The sequence below is a fragment of the Homo sapiens genome, chromosome 3 (assembly GCF_000001405.40).
Source record: "Homo sapiens chromosome 3, GRCh38.p14 Primary Assembly".
In the NCBI taxonomy this organism is placed as follows: Eukaryota; Metazoa; Chordata; class Mammalia; order Primates; family Hominidae; genus Homo; species Homo sapiens.
The window spans coordinates 185,340,481-185,366,007 of NC_000003.12; the positions used below are offsets into that span (position 1 = coordinate 185,340,481).

Here is a 25,527-nt window from a genome sequence, read left to right on the forward strand (position 1 = left end):
GTTAAGGAATGTGTACTTTATCCTGAGGATGATGAGAAACTTCCCTAAGATATTTCAGGGCTTAAGTGTCCCTTTTCTTTTTATAAGGACACCAGTCACTGGATTTAGAGCCCATCTGATATGGTTGGCTGTGTCCCCACCCAAAATTTCATCTTGAATTGTAATCCCCATAATCCTCACGTGTCAAGGGCGGGACCAGGTGGAGGTAATTAGATCACGGGGGTAGTTTGCTCTATGCCGTTCTTGTGATAGTGAGTAAGTCTCACAAGATCTGATGGTTTTATAAGGGTCTGGCATTTCCCCTGCTGGCACTCACTCTGTTCTGCCATGCTGTGAAGAAGGTGCTTGCTTCTCTTTTGCCTTCCACCATGATTGTAAGTTTCCTGAGGCCTCCCCAGCAATGCGGAACTGTGAGTCAGTTAAACATCTTTCCTTTATAAATGATCCATTCTCTGCTATTTCTTCATAGCAGTGTGAGAAAGGACTATTACACCATCCTATCCAGTCTGACTTCATATTAACTTAACTAATGTAATACTTTATTTCCAAATAAAGTTACATTCTGAGATTCTGGGTAAATGTGAATTTTGGGGGCATACTATTCAACACACCACAACACCAAATAGTGTCCCCCCAAAATTCACGTCCACCAGAACTTCAAAATGTGACCGTATTTGGAAACAGGCTCTTTATAGATGTAATTAGTTACATATGAGGTCATAGTAGTTAGGGTGGACTCTAAATCCAACAACTGGTATCCTTATAAGAAGAGGAGAGGACACACAGAGAAATATATAGAGAAGAGGACCATGTAAAGACAGAGGTTGAGACTGGAGTGAAGAAGCTATAAGCCAAGGAGCATCAAAGATTTCCAGGAGCCATCAGAAGCTATGAAGAGGCAAGGAACGGTTTTTTCCCAAAGCCTTCAGCAGGAGCATGGGCCTGCCAACACCTTGATTTTGGAGTTCTAGCCTCTAGAACTGTAAAAGAAAAAATTTCTGTTGTTTTAAGCCACCAGTTTGTGATAATTTGTTGAAATATGCCCGGGAAACTAATGCAACGTTTAACCCACATTCTGCTTTCTGTGTTAAGCCTGTGGTAGTGATTTTAAGGCATGTCTAAATTTTCTTTTTTATTCCTCCCTTTAAGAGGTATAGCCTAATTCCTCTCCCCTTGGGTGTGGGCTGGACCTAATGACTAGCTTCTAATGAATAGAATAAAGAAGGAGCAAGAGGCTTCAAGTTTCCAGCCTTGGAGACCAGGTCAGAGATTGGCAAACTATAGTCCACAGGCTGACTGCCTATTTTATAAATAAAGTTTTATTGGAACACGCCATGCCTATTTATTTGTGTATTCTATGTGGCTGTTTTTACATGACAACAACTGAGATGAGTAGCTGTGATACAGACTATAAGGCATACAAATCTAAAATATTTACTATCTAGCACTTTAAGAAAAAGTTTGCCAAGCCCTGAACTAGGTCATAAGAAGCACTGCAGCTTTTTGCTTGCTGTGAATAACTTGCTCTAGGGGAAGCCAGCTGCCTTGTCATGAGGAGACTCAGATGTCCCTGCAGAAAGGCCCACGTGACAAGTAACCAAGGCCTCCTGCAAACAGCCATGTGAGTGAACAATTTTGGAAGTAGTTCCTCCAGCCTTCAGGTGACTACATCCCTGGTCAACTGCTTGACTGCAACTTAATGAGAGACCCTGAGCCAGAACCACTCACCCATGCTGCTCCGAGATTCCTGCCCCTCAGAGACTGTATGAGAAAATAAATGTTAGTTGCTTTGAGTTGTTACGTTTTGGGGCAATCTGCATGCTGCAGTGCACAAGTAGTATACTCATCTGTCCCTTCTGCAGTTTTCAATGCAACCTGCAAGCTGCTCTGTCTGTCTTATCTATGCCACAGGCTTTTGCTATTTTAGAAACATACTGGAAAACGAGACTTTTATATAAAGAAACTCCAAGATGACATAGACAAGACTTTTAGGAAACAAAGGACATTGGAAGGCAAGAATATTTTCATAATTCTCTATCTAATACAGTACTAGATATGATTATTGCTACTGATATTAGGTCTATAAATCATGCTTGAGTCACCAGGCAAGATGTTTGTTATGTTACTCACTATTATTTATACAAAAAGGAGTATTAGAGTATGCCATTATAATCTTTATTAGGTGCTTTTTGTAAATGTTTCCTGTAAATGTAAAGCAAGTTGTCTCTAGATGGAATAGTGTGAAGTTCTGTAGGTGTATTAATTTTCTCTTACTGCGTAACAATATAATCACAAACTCAGTGGCTCAAAACAATACACATTTGTCACCTCAGTTACTGGGCATGGCCTAGCTTTGTCCTTCTCTGAGGGTCTCACATAGCTTCAGTCAGGGCTGCGTTCTCTGGATGCTTAACTGGGGAACTCATAGACATAAGTTATTAACACCATTCACTTCCTTGTGGTTTTAGGGTGTGGTTGTAGTACCGAGAACTACAGTTTTTTTTATTTTGTTTTTTTCTCCCTGTTGGCTAAAGTCTGCCCTTAGGTCATAGAGGCCACCCACATTTCCTTGCCATGCGGGGTTCCCCAACATGGCCACTAGCCTCCTTATAGCTAGCGAGGGAAGGAGAGACTCCAGACAAATGCTCCAGTTTTATATAGCATATTCACATATTACGTGCACGTAATCATGTTCATCCCAGCACCTTTTCTGTATTATATTGATTGGAAGCAAGTATTACACTCAAAGAGGGGAATCACACAAGGGTGTGAACACGAGAAGGTAAGGATCATGAGGGGCACCTTAAGAGTTTGTCTGCCATAATGGGCCTGGAGATTACACAAATCCTACTTGCAGGGTGGAATTAATGCCTTATCAAAGATGGTTTCTGTACCTAAAAAGGCAACGGAGTGCCTTGTTTTTATTTTTTTCCTCCTCTGTGCTGCAAACGGACGACTCTCAGCAGGGTATGTTTATTTATTTATTTATTTGAGACGGCATCTCGCTCTGTCGCCAGGCTGGAGTGCAGTGGTGTGATCTTGGGTCACTGCAACCTCCACCTCCCAGGATCAAGTGATTCTCCTGCCTCAGCCTCCCGAATAGCTGGGACTACAGGCACGTGCCACCATGCCCAGCTAGTTTTGGTATTTTTAGTAGAGATGGGGTTTCACCGTGTTGGCCAGGATGGTCTCGATCTCTTGACCTTGTGATCTGCCCGCCTTGGCCTCCCAAAGTGCTGGGATTACAGGTGTAAGCCACTGCGCCTGGCTGGATATTTTTTAATGACTAGAAATGGAATAATAAAAATCAGGAGGGTAAAAGATATACATGATCCCAAAACATACCTTCAAACTGGAATGTACTGTAGTTAGAAACAGCTTGGCATGCAGCTAACTAGATTGACCTAAGCAAGGGCTTCCTGCCTGTAAGGAGCCAAAGGTGCTATTTTTAGGAGCCTAAAGGGAACCCATTTCCAGGAGATCAAAGATACAGTGGAAAAACATTTCTTATTTGTTCCAATAAATGTGATGGATCACAAATCTACCTTGCTATAAGATATGCATGTGTTCATTCATTTAGAAAATTGCTATTGAATGTTTCCCATACACAAGGCCCTTTGCTAGATGCTACCCAATTTTGCATATGTTGATGGAGTATGTCTGTGGGAAAGAGTGCCACCATCTACTGTCTATACCTGCTATGGGTCTGGGAAGAGGCATAGAGGCACATGTGCCTAGTATCTGCTAGTCCTGGTATATAGTGTTTTTTCAAGAAGTTTGGTGGTAAAGAAAAGGGGAGTGAATAGATAAGTCAGAAGGAAATTTTGAAAAGGAGAGACATGGACGGGCTTATAGGCAAAGGAGAAACCCAGCCAATAAGAAGAGACTTGATGATCTGTGACAAAAGAATCTGTTACATAATAGGTGCTCAGTTAATTATCTTACCCCTCTCCTTACACAGTTTCTCCTCACTTCTTTTTTCTTAAACATATATTACCCTGCTCTGCTATACACTATACATGGCAGTAGATACCAAACTGAATATGCACTTGACCCCTTTCCATTTATGCCCCATCCAACTTGGAAATATCATTAGCCATTTAATAATCACTTCCGCCCCCCTTATCAGCCTTTGGTCCTTCCTCCTCTGACTATGCCCAACACAGAGTACCGCCTTAATCGTATTTTCAGCTACCACGTTGATTGCTTTGCATCCTCAGTTAGGCCCTCATGGCTGATTGGTGGCCTTTCATTTCTAGCGACTGTTTCCCACAGTGGCTGTTGAAACCTCTCTTGCTCCATAGAATCCCAAATCTGTCACCTTTTCCTTTCACCAGGTGATCTGCCTTCTATAATGTTATTGGAAATGGGATCTCGCAACTTCATTTCTACTAATCTCATAATTTATTTTTTTTTTTTGAGACAGAGTCTCGCTCTGTCTCCCAGGCTGGAGTGCACTGCAACCTCTGCCTCCCAGGTTCAAATGATTCTCCTGCCTCAGCCTCCCAAGTAGCTGGGATTACAGGCATGCGCCACCATGCCCAGCTAATTTTTGTATTGTTAGTAAAGACAGGGTTTCACTATGTTGGCCAGGCTGGTCTTGAACTCCTGACCTCAGGTGATCGCCTGCCTTGGCCTCCCAAAATGCTGGGATTATAGGCATGAGCCACTGCACCCGGCCCCATTTCTACTAATCTCATCATCTTTTATTGCCATCTGCACTTTTCTGTTTTCTCTCAAAAAAGTATACACACACACATACACACACACACACACGTAAACGCATACACCTTCTTCCGGTTAAGGCTTTTCATTCCAAATCCTCCCACCTCCTCAATGTATATCTCAGCCATGACCATCCCTCACTCTAGTGAAAAGACACACTATCTATTACAGCATAGTGCAGGGGTCCCCAACCCCCTGGCCACTGACTGATGCTGGTCTGTGGCCTATTAGGAACTGGACTGCACAGCAGATGAGCAGCAGGCCAGTAAGTAAGCTTCATCTGGTATTTACAGCTGCTCCCCATCACTTGCATTATTCCCTGAGTTCCCCCTCCTGTCAGATCAGCGGTGGCATTAGATTTTCATAGGAGCAGGAAACCTATTGTGAACTGCACATGTGACAGATCTTGATTGCGTGCCCTTTATGAGAATCTAATGCCTGATGATCTGTCATTGTCTCCCATCACCTCCAGATGGGACTGTCTAGTTGCAGGAAAAAAAGCACAGGGCTCCCACTGATTCTACATTACTGTGAGTTGTGTAATTATTTCATTATATATTACAATGTAATAATAGAAATAAAGTGCGCAATAAATGTAATGCACTTGAATCATCCTGAAACCACCCCCTCCCATCCCGCCCCCTAAATCCATGGAAAAATTCTCTTCATGAAACCGGTCCCTGGTGCCAAAAAGGTTGGGAACTGCTGACATAGTGTATTACAGAATCATTTTCAGGCTATCTTGCTTAAATTAGAAGGGAAAAAATTGTAACAAGTTTTGTTTTTGTTTTACCTCACATACCTATTATTTATTTGTGGTGAAATATTTAAAATCTATTCTAGCAATTTTCATGTGTGGAATACATTGTTATTAACTATAGTCACTGTGTTATACAAGAGATCTCCTGAACTTATTCCTTCTAACTGAAATTTTGTATCCTTTGACCAACATCTCCCCAAAACCCCAATAACGCGTTTTCTTAAAGTTAAAATAATTTGGTTAAAATAGCAGTGAACTTTTCTTATCTTATCAATTTTTGTAACTTTTCCCAAAAGCAATACATTTGTACTTCACAGATAATCTAGAAATTTATACTAAAAGAGAAGAAAATAAAATCACCAGTCTCTCTATATCCAGAGATAGGCATGATATATGTATGATCTGTATCCTTCAACCTTCTAGTCATCTATACATGTTAGATCACCTGGTATCTATTATTGTGTGGACTGCCTTTTTTCACACTTTGTCATGAATATTTTTACCTGTTCCTATACATTTTAGTATACAACCTGTAAAGGTTTTAAGTGTTCTATTGAATAGTTTTATCATAATTTATTTAATACCTTCCATTGTTAGGAGTATTATATTATTCCCAGTTATTTTTGTTTTAAATAATTATGTGATGAAGTCCTTGTAGCTAGATCGTTTTGCAAAGTACTGATTATTTATTTAGAATTAACTTCTCAAACTTGAATTTTGGGTCAAAAGATATCTACATTTTAAGCCTACTGATACCTATTGCCAAATTGTACTTCAAAAAAGATGCAGCAATTATTTAGCCATCAGCAGTGTATAAGAGTATCTATTTTGCCTTACCCTTTCCAAAGGGTGCAAGATTTTTTCTGTGAATTGCTTGTTCATGACCTTTTCCTCCTCCTCCCTCTGCCTTATTAGTATGCTTATCTATCTACCTTGATAATTTTTGAACTCACATTTGTTCAAATTAGTAAAAGTGCATTTTGCACTACTTTTGAACTGAGGTGTTCATAGCACAAAGGAAGTTTTTTTTTTTTTTTTTTTAGACAGAGTCTCACTCCATCACCAGGCTGGAGTGCAGTGGCGCAATCTCGGCTCACTGCAACCTCTACCTCCCGGGTTCAAGCTATTCTCCTGCGTCAGCCTCCTGAGTAGCTGGGATTACAGGTGTGCACTACCACACCCAGCTAATTTTTGTATTTTTAGTAGAGACGGGGTTTCACCATGTTGGCCAGGATGGTCTTGATCTCTTGACCTTATGATCCACCCACCTCAGCCTCCCAAAGTGCTGGGATTACAGGCATGAACCACTGCACCTGGCCGAGATTTGCTTTTATATATTGGACAGACTACAGATTATGTATACAGATACAGATATATCAAGGTGTAGCTTTACAAAGCCATTTAATACTGTTCTGTGTAGCTTAATCTATTTCTTTATACATCTCTATTTACTCTATTTCTTATACATTGCCTTATTGATCATCATTCAGAGGCCTGGAATAATTAATAGTTTAGTTAAAAGTAAAGCATGACATTGATCTCGGTCTACTTGTCCGACTTATAAATTATTCTTTAATACTAGCCCATTTTCTCTTTCACATTTTTAAAACACATTTTTTAAGTTTGCAGTAGATGGCAGCAGCAGAAAGCATTCTTTCATTCGATTGAAAATGTCACCAGGCATTTTGAGGGAACAATACAAAAGAACTTGCCCTAAATGTGAAGAACTTGTAATGGAGGCGATTTCAGAAATATCAATGTAGCCAGGCGTAGTGGCGCACACCTGTAATCCCCGCACTTTGGGAAGTCGAGGCGGGTGGATCACCTGAGGTCAGGAGTTCGAGAACAGCCTGGCCAACATGGTGAAACCCTGTCTCTACTAAAAATACAAAATTAGCCAGGTGTGTGTGGTGGTGCACACCTGTAATCCCAGCTACTTAGGAGGCTGAGGCAGGAGAATTGCTTGAATCTGGGAGGCGGCGGTTGCAGTGAGCCGAGATTGCATCATTGCACTCCATCCTGGGCAACAAAAGCAAAACTCCGTCTCAAAAAAAAAAAAAAAGAAAGAAAGAAAAGAAAAAGAAATATAAATGTAGCATGAAATTGGCGACTATTTTATACTCCAACTAAGCAGTGAGCTCCAACAAATAATCTCCTGGGGAAAATGCATTTAATTTTTCAAATGTTGCATTGTTTACTAATTACAGTATATTTTACTGGTTTTCTGGAATTCTACTTTTTCCTCCTACCTCTCTTTATATTTACTTATAGTGGAAGCCACTTCAAGACACCAGCCTCTTTTCTAGACAAATGGCCTTTTGAAGATGACCATTTATTATGGAGCCTCGAGTAATTTAATGAACTAAAAACACATCTAAGAAAATGTGGCCTTTTTAGGCCACTGCTTCCATTTTGAATGATATTCAATGGAGCTTCATTTTGCTCATTTTGAAATTTAGGCCCAATACATCTCTCGAGTATTTATAATAGTTTTCTCTAGATCATAACATTCCCCCTAAAGTTAGACAAGCATTTTCTGTAATTCACTCATAACAGGAGCAAGCAACACTACCATAGGGGACCTATGGACATGCTGCTTTTCTTTCCAAACTATACTGACAGGTGGATATTCTGTCCCCTAGACCACGAGGAGTGGCTATAAGATAGGCCTGGCCAGGCATGGTGGCTCACGCTTGTAATCCCAGCACTTTGGGAGGCCGAGGCGGGTGGATCACGAGATCAAGAGATCGAGACCATCCTGGCCAACATGGTGAAACCCTGTCTTTACTAAAAATACAAAAATTAGCTGGGCGTGGTGGCGGGCGCCTGTAGTCCCAGCTACTCAGGAGGCTGAGGCAGGACAATCGCTTGAACCCAGGAGGCGGAGGTTGCAGTGAGCTGAGATCGCGGCACTGCACTGCAGCCTGGCAACAGAGCGAGACTCTGTCTCAAAACAAACAAACAAATAAATAAATAAATAAATAAAAGATAGGCCTAGTGGTTATGGGTTTTGAAAAGAAAAGAGGAGCACTTGGTACTCTGGCCGGTTGAAAGCTAATGGTGATTTCAAAGGCAGAGAAATCAGATTGTTCTGAACTAGGAACAAGCAGCAGCTGTAAGCATATGGTACTGTAATCAAAGGCTTCCATTTCTACTTATTCTTTTTTTTTTTTAATTTTAGATTCAAGGGGCACATGTGCAGGTTTGTTACATTGGTATATTGTGTCATGGTGGGGTTTGGGCTTCTATTGAACCCATCATGCTAATATTGAACTTAATACCCAGGAGATGGTTTTTCAGTCCTTGCTCTCCTCCCTCCCTTCCTCAATGTCTCTTATTTCCATCTTTACGTACATGTGTCCCCATTGTTTAGCTCTCACGTATAAGTGAAAACGTGTAGTATTTGGTTCTCTCTTTCTGCATTCATCCACTCAGGATAATGGCCTCCAGCTGCATCCATGTTGCAGCAAAGGACATGACTTCATTCTTTTTATGGGTCTGTGGAATTCCATGGTGTATATGATCTACCCAATCTTAAGACTGTCTCAAAATGAGAAAGAACAGATTGGGATTCAACTAACTGAAGATGGTCTGGAGTGGTTTTCAAAAACTGTATTTTGGAATGAATAATTTTTTCACCCTTAATTCCATCCCAGCCCAAATTCTGTATGTGAGACGTATTAAGAAAGGAAACTTTCCAGTTCTAGACTGTAAGCTTCTTCAGGGCGAGGACTGTGTGTTTATCATCAGATCTCAGCTCAGTGCTAGCACATACCAAGTGCTCTGAACTGTCTCCTGAATGAATAAATGAAGTTAACTGCTTTATGGTGACTCTTTCCTTTCATGTCTCCCTAAGACTCCCCTTCTTTTCATATGCTCTTAGCATGCTGTGTGCGTACACTGCAGTAGGCAGGAACTCTTTCTCTTCAGCAAGGACACAGCTTAGAAGACAGGTTTCTAGTAAAGAATGTCTATTGTTGGTTAGTCAGCACAAGGGAGACCCTGGGGCCAAAGCCTTCTGAGGTGGTTTTTAAAAGATTAAAGCATCAAAATTTTCCAGGCCACAGAAAAATAGAAATTTTTATAAGAATTTAAAATATATTTCCAGACCCTAGCATGTTTTATTAGGTTCAACAGAGCACTTATGAATTGATCCAAGGATTCTTGAATCGTATTTTCTATATTTCCAAAGCACTTCTGTTATCACAACTGCTTCTATGACACTTTCTCTTTTTTTGAGATGGAGCTTTGCTCTTGTTGCCCAGGCTGGAGTGCAGTGGCGCGATCTCGGCTCACGGCAACCTCCGCCTCCCGGGTTCAAGCGGTTCTCCTGCCTCAGCCTCCTGAGTAGCTGGGATTACAGGCATGCATTACCATGCCTGGCTAATTTTTCTTATTTTTAGTAGAGACTGGGTTTCACCATGTTGGTCAGGCTGGGCTCAAACTCACGACCTCAGATGATCCACCTGCCTTGGCATCCCAAAGCGCTGGGATTACAGGCGTGAGCCACTGCGCCTGGCTTCCTATGACACTTTTATGACCATTGTCACTTATATCTTGTTGGATCTCTGACTATAATTGCTTGGGTCCATGTTTCTTGTTTGTTCATCCTTGTTTTAATCATACTATATGGTATGCTAGTATTTTCTCTTATGTTACATTTCAGATACTTTTGAGACAAAATGTGTGATTTTTCAATAAGATACCATCTCACACCAATCAGAATGGCTATTACAAAAAGTCAAAAAATAACAGATGCTGGCAAGGTCACAGAGAAAAGGGAACGTGTATACACTGTTGGCAGGAATGTAAATTAGTTCAACCATTGTGGAAAGCAGTTTGGCAATTTCTCAAAGAACTTAAAACAGAACTACCATTCGACATAGCAGTCCCATTATTCTGTATACACTCAAAGGAAAATAAATCGTTCTTTCCTAAAGACACATACATGCATATAATCATCATAGCACTCTTCACTATAGCACAAACGTGGAATCAACCTATCAACCGTAGACTAGATAAAGAAAATGTGGTACATGTACACCATGGAATACTACACAGCCATAAAAAAGCATGAGATAATATTCCGTGCAGCAACATGGATGGAGCTGGAGGCCATTATCCTATGTGAACTAATACAGGAACAGAGCACTAAACACCACGTGTTCTCACTTATAAGTGGGAGCTAAACATTGAGTACACATGGACAATAGACATCAGGGCCTATTTGAAGGTGGAGGATGGGAGGAGGATGCAGACTGAAAAACTACCTATTGGGCACTATGTTTATTACCTGGGTGATGAAATAATCTGTACACTGAACCCCCATGACACACAATTTATCTATATAACAAACCTGCACATATATGCCTGAAACTAGAATAAAAGTTTTTTAAAATGTGATTTTAAAAATCTTGTTGGCTTTCCTTTAGAATTGAGGACAGTTTTCTATGTCCCAGGATTACCGAGTGAATGTTAACTGACTCTGCCAAAGAAAGAGGCAGTGTTAGTGGTCACTGTTATCCACAGATGGGATGATGTCATGCAAAGAAGATCCCAGGAGACTGGTAATCAATTCCTGGCTCTGCCATGAATTCCAAGACTATGGACAAATCTCTGAACTTGCATTTATTCATATGTTAAAAAAAGGAAGACAGAGTAGATTGAGTTTTAAGATTTCTCCCAGTATCTTGGTTCTCTGAGTAACTAATTCTCAGAATGTCTAGAGCAATCATTTACTTATCTCATTTAATGAATAGCCACGTAACACCAAGTAGCAGGATATATTAGTGGGGTAGAGTAAGTAGCAGTAACAGAGTCTCAAAAAATTTGGTGCCTCATAAAAGGAAGAACACTCATCATTAGCAACCCTAAAGCAGGCAGGTAATTCAGGACAGATAGACAGCTTTGATTCATTAGAATATTCAAAGCCCAGGGTTACTTCTATTTGTTCTGCCATTGCCTAGGGTGTTGTCATCATCTGCATGGTACAAGTTGACTCAGTGTGGCAATGAGGAAAAAGAGTCCAGGACAGCAGCTTCATCTCTAACAAGACCCGGAAGTTGCAAACATCACTCACTCACTCACATCTCATTGACTAGAACTTAGTCATGTGGTCACGTGTACAGCCAGGAAAGTACAGAACTATTTAGCAGAGTGGCCACGTACCCACCTAAAACTTTAAAAGTAAGAGTGGGGGCCGGGCGCGGTGGCTCACTCCTGTAATCCCAGCACTTTGGGAGGCCAAGGCGGGCAGATCACCTGAGGTTGGGAGTTTGAGACCAGCCTGACCAACATGGAGAAACCCCATCTCTACTAAAAATACAAAATTAGCCGGGTGTGGTGGTGCATGCCTGTAATCCCAGCTACTCAGGAGGCTGAGTCAGGAGAATCACTTGAACCCAGGAGGCAGAGGTTGTGGTGAGCCAAGATCGTGCCATTGCACTCCACCCTGGGCAACAAGAGCAAAACTCTGTCTAAAAAAGAAAAAAAAAAGAAAAAAAGTAGGAGTGGGGATCAAGGATTCTCTTACCAAAAGGAAAGAGGAAAGATTGGATATTCGAGGACAATCTCTACCACTCTACCTTCTGTTATAATTTTAAGCCACTAAAACAATTTTTATTTTCCTATTTATTGTGTTTCTTGTCTAGTGAAATAGGCTGAGATCAGGCTCTGTGATTTATCCCTCTGTGTAAATACACCAGCATATGTTATCTTGAACATAGATGGCATGCATTAAAAAAATGTATACTTGATTTATATATTGATGTTCAGAGTATCTAAAAAAGCACTATGGCCAGCCCCCTTCCTCATTCCTATATTCTCCTGTATCTACTTATTACCTGTTTAATGAATGCTACCTGTACAGCTTTAATTCTCAACCTAGTTGAACAGACTGGATTGGAACCTATGAAGTAAAAGTTTAAAAATACAATATAAATTGATTGATTCAGGGCAGGTTGCTGCTAGTAGCAACTACTATCTTTTACTACTTGAGGTAAAGATATTACTATCCTATCTTGAGGTAGTACAATTACACGTAATGGAAAACCAAGAGCTTTCCAATGCGGCTTCATTATTTAATTGTAAGTGTATTTCCTGGACATAACGTATAATTACATTCATGAGTACACTTTAAAACAGAGTTTTTCCCTGAAAGATTTTTGAGTCCTTCCCCCTCTGTCCCCTTCATCAGTGTTTATAGTAAAGAGATGACTATAGTGCTGGGTATTGTTAAAAACTTCAGCCAAATTAAATTTAAAGGAGTTTAATTGAGCAATGAACAATTTGTGAACTTGGCAGCCCCCAGAATCACAGCAGATTCAGAGAGACTCCAGCACAGCCATGGGATGGAAGAGGATTTATGGACAGCAAAAGGAAAGTGACAGTACAGAAAACGGAAGCGAGGGGCAGAAACAGCTGGGTTGGTTCCAGCTCAGTATTTGCCTTATTTGAACATGGTTCGAACAGTTGGCTACATTTGATTGGCCAAAACCCAGTGATTGGCATAGGTGTGGGCTACGGTCGGTTTACACCTCTACTTGTTACAGTTTACAATATACAGAAAAATCTTTAGGCCAAACTTAAATACATAAGGAGGCAGCTTTAGGCTAAACTTGACTTAACAGTATGACTCTACATAGTATGGACCTGTTTATGGATGGTCATATAAGGCTCATTTTAAAACTGACTTCACAATTTACTGATTCAGTGTTAATATCTTATCATCTTTGACTTCTAGTTCTTCACTTGCTGTACTCACACACTGTAATCTTATATTAGAATGAAAAGTACTAATGTATGCCTTACCAGTTTTACATTTGATATGGACCTTGGGGGAATTGTCCCTGCTCTCTCATATCCAGTTTCCCCAAATCCTTCCCCTTCAAGGTCTACCTCCTTGTTGAAACTGACCATAACCACACCCCGCCCCCGCCAACCCCAAATGGTCATTCCATCAAAGAGAAGAAAGACTTAATTCAAGCTCTGGGTAAGAGGGTGGCAGTGCAGACTGGGACTAGTAGAGCAAACTGCAGCATTAGACCAGGCTGTGTTTGTGTAAGGACAAGCCTTTATTCCCTTCACAAGCGTGCCAACTTGCCAAAGATAAGTAAATCGTAAGTATCGGCTATCATCTGGTCTAGGAAGAGCGGCTCTTGGCCTTGACTCAGCCTCACTTCACATTCCCAGAGCTCTTGATGAGCCTCAACTTGGGGCATCTTTGTTCTTGTCATATTTGTCTCCAGGGGACTTAGATGTTTCCCTAAGGGACAGGACATATCTATCTGCTAAGGGTCTGCTCCTACCTCTCTGTGTCAACAGAGGGCAGCAGAGAGCATCACCCGGTAGCCTAACCTGTAGGCTTCAAACCGGGGCAACGGCAATCCAAGTGCCTAGGGAAGCAAATGCCTGGGGAGTGTACGCATTGCCCCCGTTTGAAGCCTATAGGTTAGGCTACCGGGTGATGCTCTCCGCTGCCCTCTGTTGACATAGAGAGGTAGGAGCAGACCCTTAGCAGATAGATATGTCCTGTCCCTTAGGGAAACATCTAAGTGCCCTGGAGACAAATGTGACAAGAATAAAGATGCCTCAAGTAGAGCTCATCAAGAGCCTCAAGAACAACACTGGGACTGTTATAAGTATGGGGGGGGGGCAGGGTACTAAATGTGTTGCTGTGTGTAGGATGGTCCCATTCAAGGAAGTCTATTCTTGCCCCCAAATTTCAGTTACCTTTCTTCTAGTATTGTATCCCAAATTCAAGTAAAACATTCCTGTCTACCCCACTAATTTAACATCTACACCATTTTGTATTGTTACTCATCTCACCAAAGCTCCTTGATACTTAGAAACTGGCTTTTTAATCTTTGCATTGCTACTTCTTAAAAATTTATCCTTAATTTTACTCATTGGATGATGAAAAACAGGTCTTTAAAGGGGGAGGGTTAACAGGTAATGGATAGAATTTAAAAGTATAGTCAGTTTCAATAGATAACAGAGTTTAGATAAAAGCTATATTAGACGAGCCAATCTTCCCGGGGCCCTAATTTTCTCACAAGTAAAATGGAACCAACAACTACCCTATTTTAAAGAAAGTTGTAAACTGTAAAGTGCAGTATAAGATCGTTTACAAAGAATGTCTAGGACCAGATTTGCTCCCAATTATTATTTCTGGAATTTAGATATCTGAAACTCCAAAAGAGTGTAATATAATGAAGATACATTAAGGCCGGGCACGGTGGTTCATGCCTGTAATCCCAGCACTTTGGGAGGCTGAGGCGGGCAGATCACTTGAGGTCAGGAGTTTGAGACTGGCCAACATGGCGAAAACCCATCTCTACTAAAAATACAAAAATTAGCCTGGCATGGTGGTGCGTGCCTGTAATCCCAGCTACTCCAGAGGCTGAGGCAGGAGAATCACTTGAACCCGAGAGGCGGAGGTTGCAGTGAGCCAAGATCGTGCCACTGCACTCCAGCCTGGGTGTCAGAGCGAAACTCTGTCTCAAAAAAAAAAAAAAAAAATTAGCCGGACATAGTGGCGTACACCTGAAATCCCCAGCTACTCAGAAGGCTGAGGCAGGAGAATCACTTGAACCTAGGAGGCAGAGGTTTCAGTGAGCTGAGATCACGCTGCTGTACTCCAGCCTGGACGACAGAGTGAGACTCCGTCTCAAAAAAACCAACCAAACAAACAAAAAGCAAAGAGAACTCAGAATTGACTTTAAAATGAAGGTCAGAAAAAGGATAGGTCACAGGAAAAATACACTTTTATAACCTTTGAATAGAGAGAAATAGAAAAAAAAATTAAGAGATTCAAAGTTATAATCTGTCAACCACAGAATAAGAATAACCTAAGAGAAAATGCATGAAATTCAGAAATATAAAATATGTTTAGTTATAGTTTTGATTATGAGGTTATTGAGTAACATAACTAACATTGTTTACCATGCTGAGGTGCTGTGCTATACCTGTAATTACTTCCATTTTACAGTGAGTCATTTAAGTGAACATTTAAGTAACCTTGCCCAGGGCTTCAGAATTAATGTATCTTAAAGCCTGGATGAATTGAGATAAACGGTAAAAAGATTTCTGTGAAGGTCACTGACTTCAAAATATCAAAGATACAGCTTGCTATTGAGAGGAAATACTGGGTCTTTAAAATGTCGAACTTTTGATGGTGACAAAGATAATAATAATAAAGTGTAAACACCATGTGAGAGTTAGAAGACAGAATTTGAAAGTTAGTCTACCAATATATTGAAATTATTAATGTCAGAAAAGGAATTCTATAGTACAGGGAATCTGATTTTAATTTGGTTTTCTTGAATAGGATGAAAGAGAATCAATTAATGACATTGTGTTAATAAGTACTCTTTTGGCTGCAAGTGACAGAAACCTTTATCAAACTTGTTTGTTTGTGTGTTTTTTAAAGGGAGTAAGGAGGGAGGGATTGATTGGCTTATGTAATTGGGAGGTCCAGCAGAGTAACTGGCTTCAGACAAGACTGAAGTTAGATGTCCAGTGGCCTTTTTCAGGAATCTGTCTTCTTTCCTTTATCTCTGGTCTGCTTTCCTCTGCCCGATATATGGATGGAGACGACAGCCCTCTGCCTACTTGTCCTTACAGCTAGTATCCTGATGAAACAAATGTTCAGCCCCCACCCAGCCAATAGTTGTCAAACATCCTGGGGATGACTCAGATTATGCTTATTGGCTGGCTTGGAGGATGTGTCTATCCTTTCACTAATTATTACGACCAGGGAGTTGAGTTGGCCATCCTTGTGCCACGTGCTCACTCTTGGAGCACTCGCTTCAGATGGGGTCATCCCTATCTGAACCATATGGACTAAAAGTGGGGGAGAGATATTTCCTTCAAATGGGGATGATACAGAGGCAGACTTCATGTATGTATGTATGTATGTATGTATGTATGTATGTATGTATGTATTTATGTATTGAGACGGAGTCTCGCTCTGCCGCCCGACTTTAAAAGGCAGATATCCACTACTCTGATGTTTTGGTCTTTAATTATATTGCATGCAATGTGTGGCTACAGTGGAAATGCCAACTTGTGTCTAGCTAAAGAAGGGGAGAAATTAAAACAGAATCAAAGAATAGAAGTTAGAGAGTTAAGAAGTTTTTTTTTTTTCTCTCTCTCTCTCTCTTTTTACATGAGCTCTAAGAAAGTATTATGAATTCTAGGCCGGGTGCAGTGGCTCACGCCCGTAATCCCAGCACTTTGGGAGGCCGAGGCGGGCGGATCACCTGAGGTCAGGAGTTTAAGACCAGCCTGGCCAAAATGGTGACACCCCATCTCAACTAAAAATACAAAAAAAATTAGCTGCATGTGGTGGCGGGCGCCTGTAATCTCAGCTACTCAGGAGGCTGAGGCAGGAGAATTGCTTGAACCCGGGAGGCGGAGGTTACGGTGAGCCAAGATCGCGCCATTGCACTCCAGCCTGGGCAACAAGAGTGAAACTCCATCTAAAAAAAAAAAAAAAAAAAAGAAAAAAAGAAAAAGAAAGAAAGAAAGTAGTATGAATTCTATGTGGATGAGTAAAGTAATCTATAAAGTCTTCTTTTGCTCTTTCAGTGTATAAAGTACCTTTGCAAACTCAGTATATTATTTTTAATCCTGCAAAGGTTTGGTTTATGGTATTTTGCCAGAATTTGTATGTTATGGAATGGTGTATTTTGGGGATGGTAAATATTTTATTAATTGAGAAATCCATCTGCTTTTGATTTGCTTCAGTACATTTGTGTTATCAGTCAGAGAAGAATCTTATATCCCTCATTGGTAATCATCCTTTTGACAGGAATAACACATTAAAGCTTCATTAAGCTGTTAAGACTTATTCTGAATAGCACATAAAATCTCAAGCAATTGCTTTTCTCCAGCTGGCTAGATATTTTATTATCCTTTAATTAAAAATATTGAATAGTTAAGTCTAATTAACTCACAATATTCTTTAAAGTTTGCCATAATGTGTACCTTTAATATAAAGATGACTGTAGAATTTAACATGAGGCTTTAATCTTCTTAAAAGTTTACAGATATGTATTTAGTGCAAATTTTTATTTATAGCATACCTTTTCAAAAAGTGTTTGAAGTGCTTATCATAAAAAAGAATGTATATAATAAGGTTAACCATAGAGTAATCCAACCCAAAACAAGGAAGAGAAAGCAAGTATGCATGTAAATATATACTTTTGTGCTTAGCTTATTTTAAAGCATATGAATTTTAAAGTTGGCTCTGAGCTTCCCAGCAGCAGGGTCGAAAAAATGAAAATTCAGTGGATTACACTGTTATCATCTAAAAGGTAGACAGACACCTAATAATTCTTCAAGAACAGAAAATTTTTCCTTCATATTAAGTTGTAAAACAAATTCTCCATGTGAATTCCTTACATGGGAGATATCATTCAAGATAATGGACAACACAGAAGCAATATGAATCTTCCTTATAATAATTTTTAATAAAAGCAAGACCACAACACTCAATGATAGTTATTCTTCTAAGGGGTATTAGGCTAATGATATTTAGATAGCATGTAGCTTTCTGATGATCTCCCTTGACACAAGGATAGATTTGAGTGAACTTATAAGAATGTTTTTCCTTAGATGTTTCTTAAAAATCACTTTCTCAGATAGGCATTTAATGGGAGCTGGACAGAGAAAAATGGCAGTATTAATAATAATCTGCTGAGGTCTTTGAATATTGAAATTCAGTTATTGACCAAGGCTCCATATACTTTGGAGTGGAAATAGGGTTAACATTCTGATATGAAAGTGGAGAATTCTGACCAGTATTCCCAACTAGGAGACAGATTGTTTTCCAGATTAATTCACATCATTTTATACAAACTACATCTTTATGTAGAAAAATGTAGCTGCTTTTTAAAAACAATGAATAGAGCTCTTGATCAGCTAGCATAACTACCTGAAGGTTCCCCTGATCTGTTTCAGAACCCCAAAGATATTCCCCAACCACCTGAAGGAAAATGACTTGGATGAACTTCCCTTTGGAAGTTGGGTCACTAATAGATATTTTTAGAATTTCCTGAAAAGATTTTGTATTAGTCTGTTTTCACGCTGATGATAAAAACGTACCTGAGACTGGGCAATTTACAAAAGAAAGAGGTTTAATTGGACTTACAGTTCCACATGGCTGGGGAAACCTCGCAATTATGGTGGAAGGCAAGGAAGAGCAAGTTATATCTTACACGGACGGCAGCAGGCAAAGAGAGAGTGAGGAAGATGCAAAAGTGGAAACCCCTGATAAAACCATCAGATCTTGTGAGACCTATTCACTACCATGAGAACAGTATGGAGGAACTGCCCCCATGATTCAATTACCCCCCACCAGATCCCTCCCACAACACATGGGGATTATGGGATTACAATTCAAGATGAGATTTGGGTGGGGACACAGAGCCAAACCATATCAGATCTGTTCAAGATTTATTATAAGCAAAATAAAGATGTTGTATTAGTTCCTGTGGTTCTGATTCCTGGATCTGCACAGTTGTTGAAATTTCCCTTGTTGAGAGAGTAGCAGGGTCTCAATAACAAAATAAAACCAGCTACCAGTATCATTTACTGAGTAACTTCTGTATGTAGGTACTGTGTGCAAATCTTTACATGTGTTATAATATTACTTTAACCTTCACACAATAATATAGGCTATTATAATCCCCATTCTAATAATGAGAAAACTGAAACTCAGGTTTACCTGAATATTCATAACTAATAAGTGGCAGAAATAGGATTTGAGCCCAGATCTCTTTACCAGCTTTTAACCACTACACACTTATCTGTGAAGGAAATTTGAGTCTCCACGTATTAGCATTTGAGATCACTAAACTCTTTCTTTTTCCTGGTATTTCTGACAAAAATTGCCCATGGGTCATGATACTTTGGACTTCGATTCTGGCTTAAATGAGTTGTTTTCCTTTTTTAAAAACACATTTTTTTCCTCAAAAAAAAAAAACTCCAAAACAAGAATAGCTTATATTTTATAGCAGAATTATTGTACCTTAATTTCTATATATAGATTTTTATCTAATAATGAGTTTTAAATATCTTCTTGCATAATGAGACTAGAGTCATTTTCCAGTTATTACTGAAGTTTGAGGAGATTCATTTGGTTCTTAAAAGAGCTTACTCACCTTGATAATGGCTTTGCAGTCCTCCACACTTAGTATGCCCATGTGCTGCAATTAAAAATTACTTATAATGATGGGACTTGGCTTGATATCTCTAGAGTTGCATTGTTGCATACCATAGCCACCAGCTAAATGTGACTATTTTGGAGTTAAATAAATTTAAATCACTTTACATTAAAAATTCACTTCCTCAAGAACACTAGCCATCTTTCAAATCTATGGAATGCTCCATAATCACAGCAAGTTCTCTTGGGCTGTACTTCTCTAGAGTGTACATTTTTCATGCCTCTATATCCCTTCCTACCTTCTGCTTCTAAAATGATAATGACTTCCTCCAAGACTGACTTCTATATCTTCCATAATTTGGTGAGACAGCTTATCTTTCCAATGATTTCCCATGATAGTTGACATGGAGGAGTCTTTGTTGGCCTAGCTGATGTTCCTGTGGTACAGGAAGCATGCTAACTGAGGCCAAGTTTATCATCTTACTGAAGTGGCAAGTCCATAAAGCCCCCAAGTTTTTATTTTCCAGGTTATATATTGAGCCAAGAATCTTAGGTGACTGTTATTAGAAGCATTTATAGACCCTGTTTTGTTGAATTGCTTCAGAGACTACTCCCATCCATAGTGGACTTATTAGTAATTTTGTTGCTGTCAAAACTTACAGAAAAACTTCTACAACAGCTTTAGCTTTTTTTTTTTTTTTTTTTTTTTTTGAGAGAGGGAGTCTCACTCTGTCACCAGGCTGGAGTGCAGTGGTGTGATCTCAGCTCACTGCAACCTCTGCCTCCCAGATTCAAGCGATTCTCATGCCTCAGCTTCCCGAGTAGCTGGGATTACAGATGTGTGCCACCATGCCCAGCTAATTTTTGTATTTTTAGTAGAGATGGGGTTTCACCATGTTGGCCAGGCTTGTCTCAAACTCCTGACCTCAGATTTTATATGTATATGTGTATGTGTATATATATATATGTGTGTGTGTGTGTGTGTGTGTGTATACACACATATATACATATACATATATACAGATTTTATATGTGTGTGTATATATTATATATATATATACACACACACACAAATTGATGTTTCTTGGCTATTTTATTGACATAGTCCACAAAAAGTTTGCCTCTTTCCATTAGTTAGTCTGTATTGTTTTGGAAGAAAAAAATGTTTTCCATAAATCTGATTCTTTTAATGTATCCTGATTGGCTTTGGTTGTTGTTAAATAGAGATGTATATTCTTCAGCTTTCCATTTGTTCGTTTTTTGTTTTTTTTTTTTCTTTTTTCTTTGAGACGGAGTCTTGCTCTGTCACCCAGGCTGGAGTGCAGTGGCAAGATCTCGGCTCACTGCAAGCTCCGCCTCCCGGGTTCACGCCATTCTCCTGCCTCAGCCTCCCGAGTAGCTGGGGCTACAGGCGCCCACCATCACGCCCGGCTAATTTTGTTTTTGTATTTTTAGTAGAGACGGGGTTTCACCATGTTAGCCAGGATGGTCTCGATCCCTGACCTCGTGATCCGCCCACCTTGGCCTCCCAAAGTGTTGGGATTACAGGCATGAGCCACCGTGCCTTGCATGTTCGTTCTTAAATAATGTGGTACACTGAGGCCTACTGGGCGTGTACCAATGCCGTATTTGCCTTGAGCACTCCCATGTTACATGTGTAAACTTCTTTGGTCTATCTTTTTTGTAGTGATATTCCACAATAAGCTCCTTTAGAGAAGTTTGTTAACTATGTTGTTTGCCAACGATATTCTATTGCTTCAATATAGACAGTACACTGAATATCTTTGCTGTGTGTAAAATTATCCTGAAAAGTTTTCCTTTTCCAAATGAGCTAAGAAGTGTGCAATACTTACTAGTGGTCAGGTTTAGACCCTCCAGAACCACTTAGAAACAGGCCACCACTTTCCTTCTCTCACAGTTGTATAAATAATCTGATTGAGAAATAGAGCAGATCTCTGTTCAGAATGTTCTTGGTCACTGGACACCTCATAACTGAGGCTTTATATTAACCACGATCGTTCTAGTTTCAAGGATTGAGGCCATTTCCCAAGTTCAGAAAAATCATGATCAGTATTTGTCAAGTATTAGTCATTGTGAAGTGTAGTGATGGGGAGTAGGGACAATAAATATATTCATCTCCAATTTTGTATAACTGAAAAGTGTAAAAATAAAGAAGAAAGAGATGCCTCTTGAGTGAATTTAATACAGCTGTTTTTGCTGTTAATAATAAAACATCTTACTGAAACCAAAATTTGTTCAAAGTTTCATTAAGTGCCCTTTTGGAGCTGTGTCTTAATCGACTGCCAGAAGTTGAATAAACCAATGAGGAAACACTGTACCCTACTTAAAAGTAGCAGTAAATTTTTCTTCCATATCCACTTTTGATACATCATGAAGGTCAGCAAGATGTTACTGCTGTGCAAAACAGCTACATTCGTGTAATATTATTTTCCATATGTCTGTTTTCTTAGTTACTAGATTATTGTTCCCATGCGTTCTTCCCGACAATTTTGCTTTTACAAGTCCCGACAATTTTGCTTTTACAAGTCGTGGTGAGCAGGGCATACATGTCCACTAGTCTGCTAGTTTTAGAAATGGTTTTCCTGACTTTGATTTGTTTTGATCGCATCAGGCATATTGCTGAACAGTAAGAAAAGGGTTGAAGAAAAGAGTTCTAATGAATAAAAGATGGGATTTCTTCTATATGCATTTTTGTTATCCTTGATTCCACAGAAATTCTATTTTGATTCCTTCATTCAATAACAATAATAATGTTTTTATGACTATCACAGCTTGAAACACACACACACACACACACACACACGCACACACACACACACACACACACACTCAAGCTGCCAGTCTGTCTTAAGGCAGTGGCAGATGCCTGATTGGCGGGCTCTGTTTATTCTGTGACCAGATTCCTTCTAAAAGAAGGAAGGCCATGTCTGCCTGAAGCCTATTGGCTGGGCCTACTCTGGACCCGCCCCTCTTTTTTTTTTCATGACACACACCACAGCGAAGTCTGTGCGGAATCCTAAACCAGCCCAATTTACATCCATTCATGAATCTGTGACGTCAGCAAGCCTTTGGGCTCCTTTGCGGTGGGCTGGAGGATTGTGTGGGTGGAATCCCCCTCCCCTTTATTTTTCCAATTCTGCAAGGCTTTTAAAATTCACCTTACATCTTTTCAAAGCAAGAAAATGGAACAGCATGTGTAGGAATTCTTCGTTGTTGTGAGTATTGCACTCTGTTTTTCCTGTTTCTTCAGTATTTATTTCACAAGGACAGACAGAGAATGTGTGATTTGAGGTGATTAGAAAGCTGATATTATTGAGGGCGACACCGTGAGAGAGACAGAGAGACAGAGGCGGAGAGAAACCCGAAACCCCGTTACAGCTAGGAGCCTCTGAAACTGACAGCTGGTTTTCCTTTGCTTGTCTGCCTGCTAGACGTGGACATTTTTCATTTACGGTTCTGCACGTTACCTCGGATGCCTGCTTGGCTTTCCTTAAAGGGAGATTCATTTCTCTGAGAGATGATGTGGATGGTATTAGCAGAAAAGCCCAGAACACCAGAAAGGTGCTGAGAAAAGCGGGGCCCGCAAGACAGAGCAGGTTCTATCCTGTGGGGCACTTGTCTTCCTTGCGACCGTCCTTTCTGCCGTTCCTCACCCTTCACCTTGCCTTTGTTTCATATTGTGTAACAGTCAGTATCTTGCGATTGCAATTTGGTGAAGATGAATACTTGTTCAACCATTTTTCAAAAGCTCTTATGACGGGAGCCATAGTGGTGTATTTATATATATTCATAGCTCTTCTTTATGTCACTCTCTACACTTTATAGTGTCAAAAACTTAAAAAGCTGCATTCGAGGGAAAGGGGGAATTATCCTTAAACTTGGGTTTTTCAATATCCTCTAATGAAAACTAAGAAGTGGTTACAATGTTCCACAATTATATTGCATAGAAATGCACATGAGTGTTTTCCTAAGATGAACTTATTAGCTGAAAATAGTTTATTCCACTGTGTTGGGGAAACATGGAAAAGTTCTGATATGTTCCATGTATAAAGTTGGTTTGGTAGTTTGCTACTGTAGTTTTAACAAAAAGTTACTATTTGTGATTGAATTTGTTTTCCAAGGGTCTGTTTATTCTGGTGAAAGTTGTGAGAGTAAAGAAGAGGGATGTGACATTGTGACATGTTCTGCCCCTGGGGCAGCTCCTCAACCCGAATAATCTGACAGCATTTCCCAACTGCTTCACTTTGAGCGATTTATATGCCAGTCTGCAGCATGTACCCAGTTGTTCTTTCTCCTGAGAAAGCAAAATGCCTGATATTTCTTATAATCCAGGCTGCCATGTTTACCTTGTAAAATCAATACTTAATTTTTAGATTTTTATATTATCTTTTCTCGTGAAGCAAGACTTCTAAATTATGGCTATAATATCTTTTGAATTGTTGTTCTTAATGAATCTTCCAACTGTAAACTCATCTAATTTCAAACTTATCATACCTGAGGATGTAACATTGTCTTTTGTTTCTCATCTTGATATTACCGTCAATCATTTTGTATTTCTGAGTACATTTGAACTTGCTGGAGTAATAGAGGGAAAACCTCTGCCTGATTCTAAATCAGATCTTTGTCCTATACTCGGACAATTATGGTTTCATATTTTATTATTTTTTATTTTCTGGGTTTAACAAATGAGATAACATTTTAGACATAATATTTGTAAACATCTTGACTTATTTCAGCATTTTCCTTTTTTGTATATCTTCAGAGAGTTTGTTGAAAGTAGCAATTTCCAAGTAATTTTAAATTATTGAAGTCTACTAGCACGAAAGGTCAAATTCTTAGGATATTTAAAAAATGTTGTTTAATAATCAAACTCATCTTAAAAAATGTTCATCAGACTCTGTCTTTGATGCACATTTTGCCAAAAGAGAGCCTTATTTCTGTGAAAGAAATACAGTATGTACTTTGGATTTACTAAAGTAAAACTGTTACTTTAAGGCACAGAGCAGATATAGAATCCCCCTCTCTCCCCACTCCTAGTGACTGTATTCTACATTATATTTATCTTCATGTATAGTGTACTTGTAGGGAAAAAAACAATAACTCTTAATTGTTTAATATCAAACAATAAAATCCTGTGTATCAGTGACTGTCAATAGATGGCTTTCTGTTTAAAAACTGAAGCTACTCCAGAAGTAGGAATTAATTTATTTAGTAAACAAAGTCAGTCAAACCAGAGCCATGTCCTGGGGAACTGTCAAAAGAATGGTTCCTAAGGGCCAGAGGCCACATCCACTGGTAGATGACAGAACAACCATACTTCAGATGGCAAAACCGGTCAGTTTGGTTTGCGTTGTGTGCCTATCCTCTTTCTGTGTGCTTCAGCTGAATTAAGTGCTTGGAGAGCTCAAATAGTTCAAGATAGCCAAGATGACCAATTCTGCCAGGTGGCAGCCTGATCTTGCAATTTTGATTAAAATAAAGAACATTCCCCAAGAACAGTTTGTTGCAAAAAAATAAAAATAAAAAAATCACACCCTTGCTCTGTGTTACTATTCTGTAAGAATATGGGGGAGAAAAAAATTTAGAAAATGCAGTCTTTACTCTGAAGGAATCTAGAAAGGAAAATGCCGGAAATAAACTTCAGTATTAGAATTACCTGTGGAACCTTTTTCCCTTCCCTCCCTACCTCTTTCTCCCCATCCCCTCCCCTCCCCTCCCCTCCCCTCCCCTCCCCTCCCCTCCCCTCCCCTCCCCTCTCTTCCCCTCCCCTTTCCCTTCCCTCCCTCCCTCCCTCCCTCCCTTCCTTCCTTCCTTTCTTTTCTCTTTTCTTTTTTCCTATTTAATGGTTTTTAGT

General features: G+C 39.7%; 1 protein-coding gene across 7 annotated transcripts in view, besides 3 other annotated features; it reads left to right on the forward strand.

Moving 5' to 3' along the window:
- Positions 1–25,527, forward strand: part of MAP3K13 (mitogen-activated protein kinase kinase kinase 13) — a 206,134-nt gene that overhangs the window by 57,520 nt on the left and 123,087 nt on the right. The window contains exon 1 of one of the 7 annotated variants that reach the window (NM_004721.5): positions 22,656–22,888. The exons of the other annotated variants lie outside the window; for them this stretch is intronic. The gene's annotated coding sequence lies outside the window, so the exon portion shown is untranslated. Of the gene's footprint in view, positions 1–22,655; positions 22,889–25,527 lie in introns of those variants that run through there. 7 annotated transcript variants of the gene reach the window in all.
- Positions 22,488–22,637: a silencer, noted in NCBI's record as "silent region_14974". NCBI's record gives its function as "represses an Ori minimal core promoter by ATAC-STARR-seq in GM12878 lymphoblastoid cells {active_cell/tissue: GM12878}" and the evidence as "EXISTENCE:reporter gene assay evidence [ECO:0000049][PMID:35858748]".
- Positions 23,108–23,197: an enhancer, noted in NCBI's record as "active region_20923". NCBI's record gives its function as "activates an Ori minimal core promoter by ATAC-STARR-seq in GM12878 lymphoblastoid cells {active_cell/tissue: GM12878}" and the evidence as "EXISTENCE:reporter gene assay evidence [ECO:0000049][PMID:35858748]".
- Positions 23,288–23,347: an enhancer, noted in NCBI's record as "active region_20924". NCBI's record gives its function as "activates an Ori minimal core promoter by ATAC-STARR-seq in GM12878 lymphoblastoid cells {active_cell/tissue: GM12878}" and the evidence as "EXISTENCE:reporter gene assay evidence [ECO:0000049][PMID:35858748]".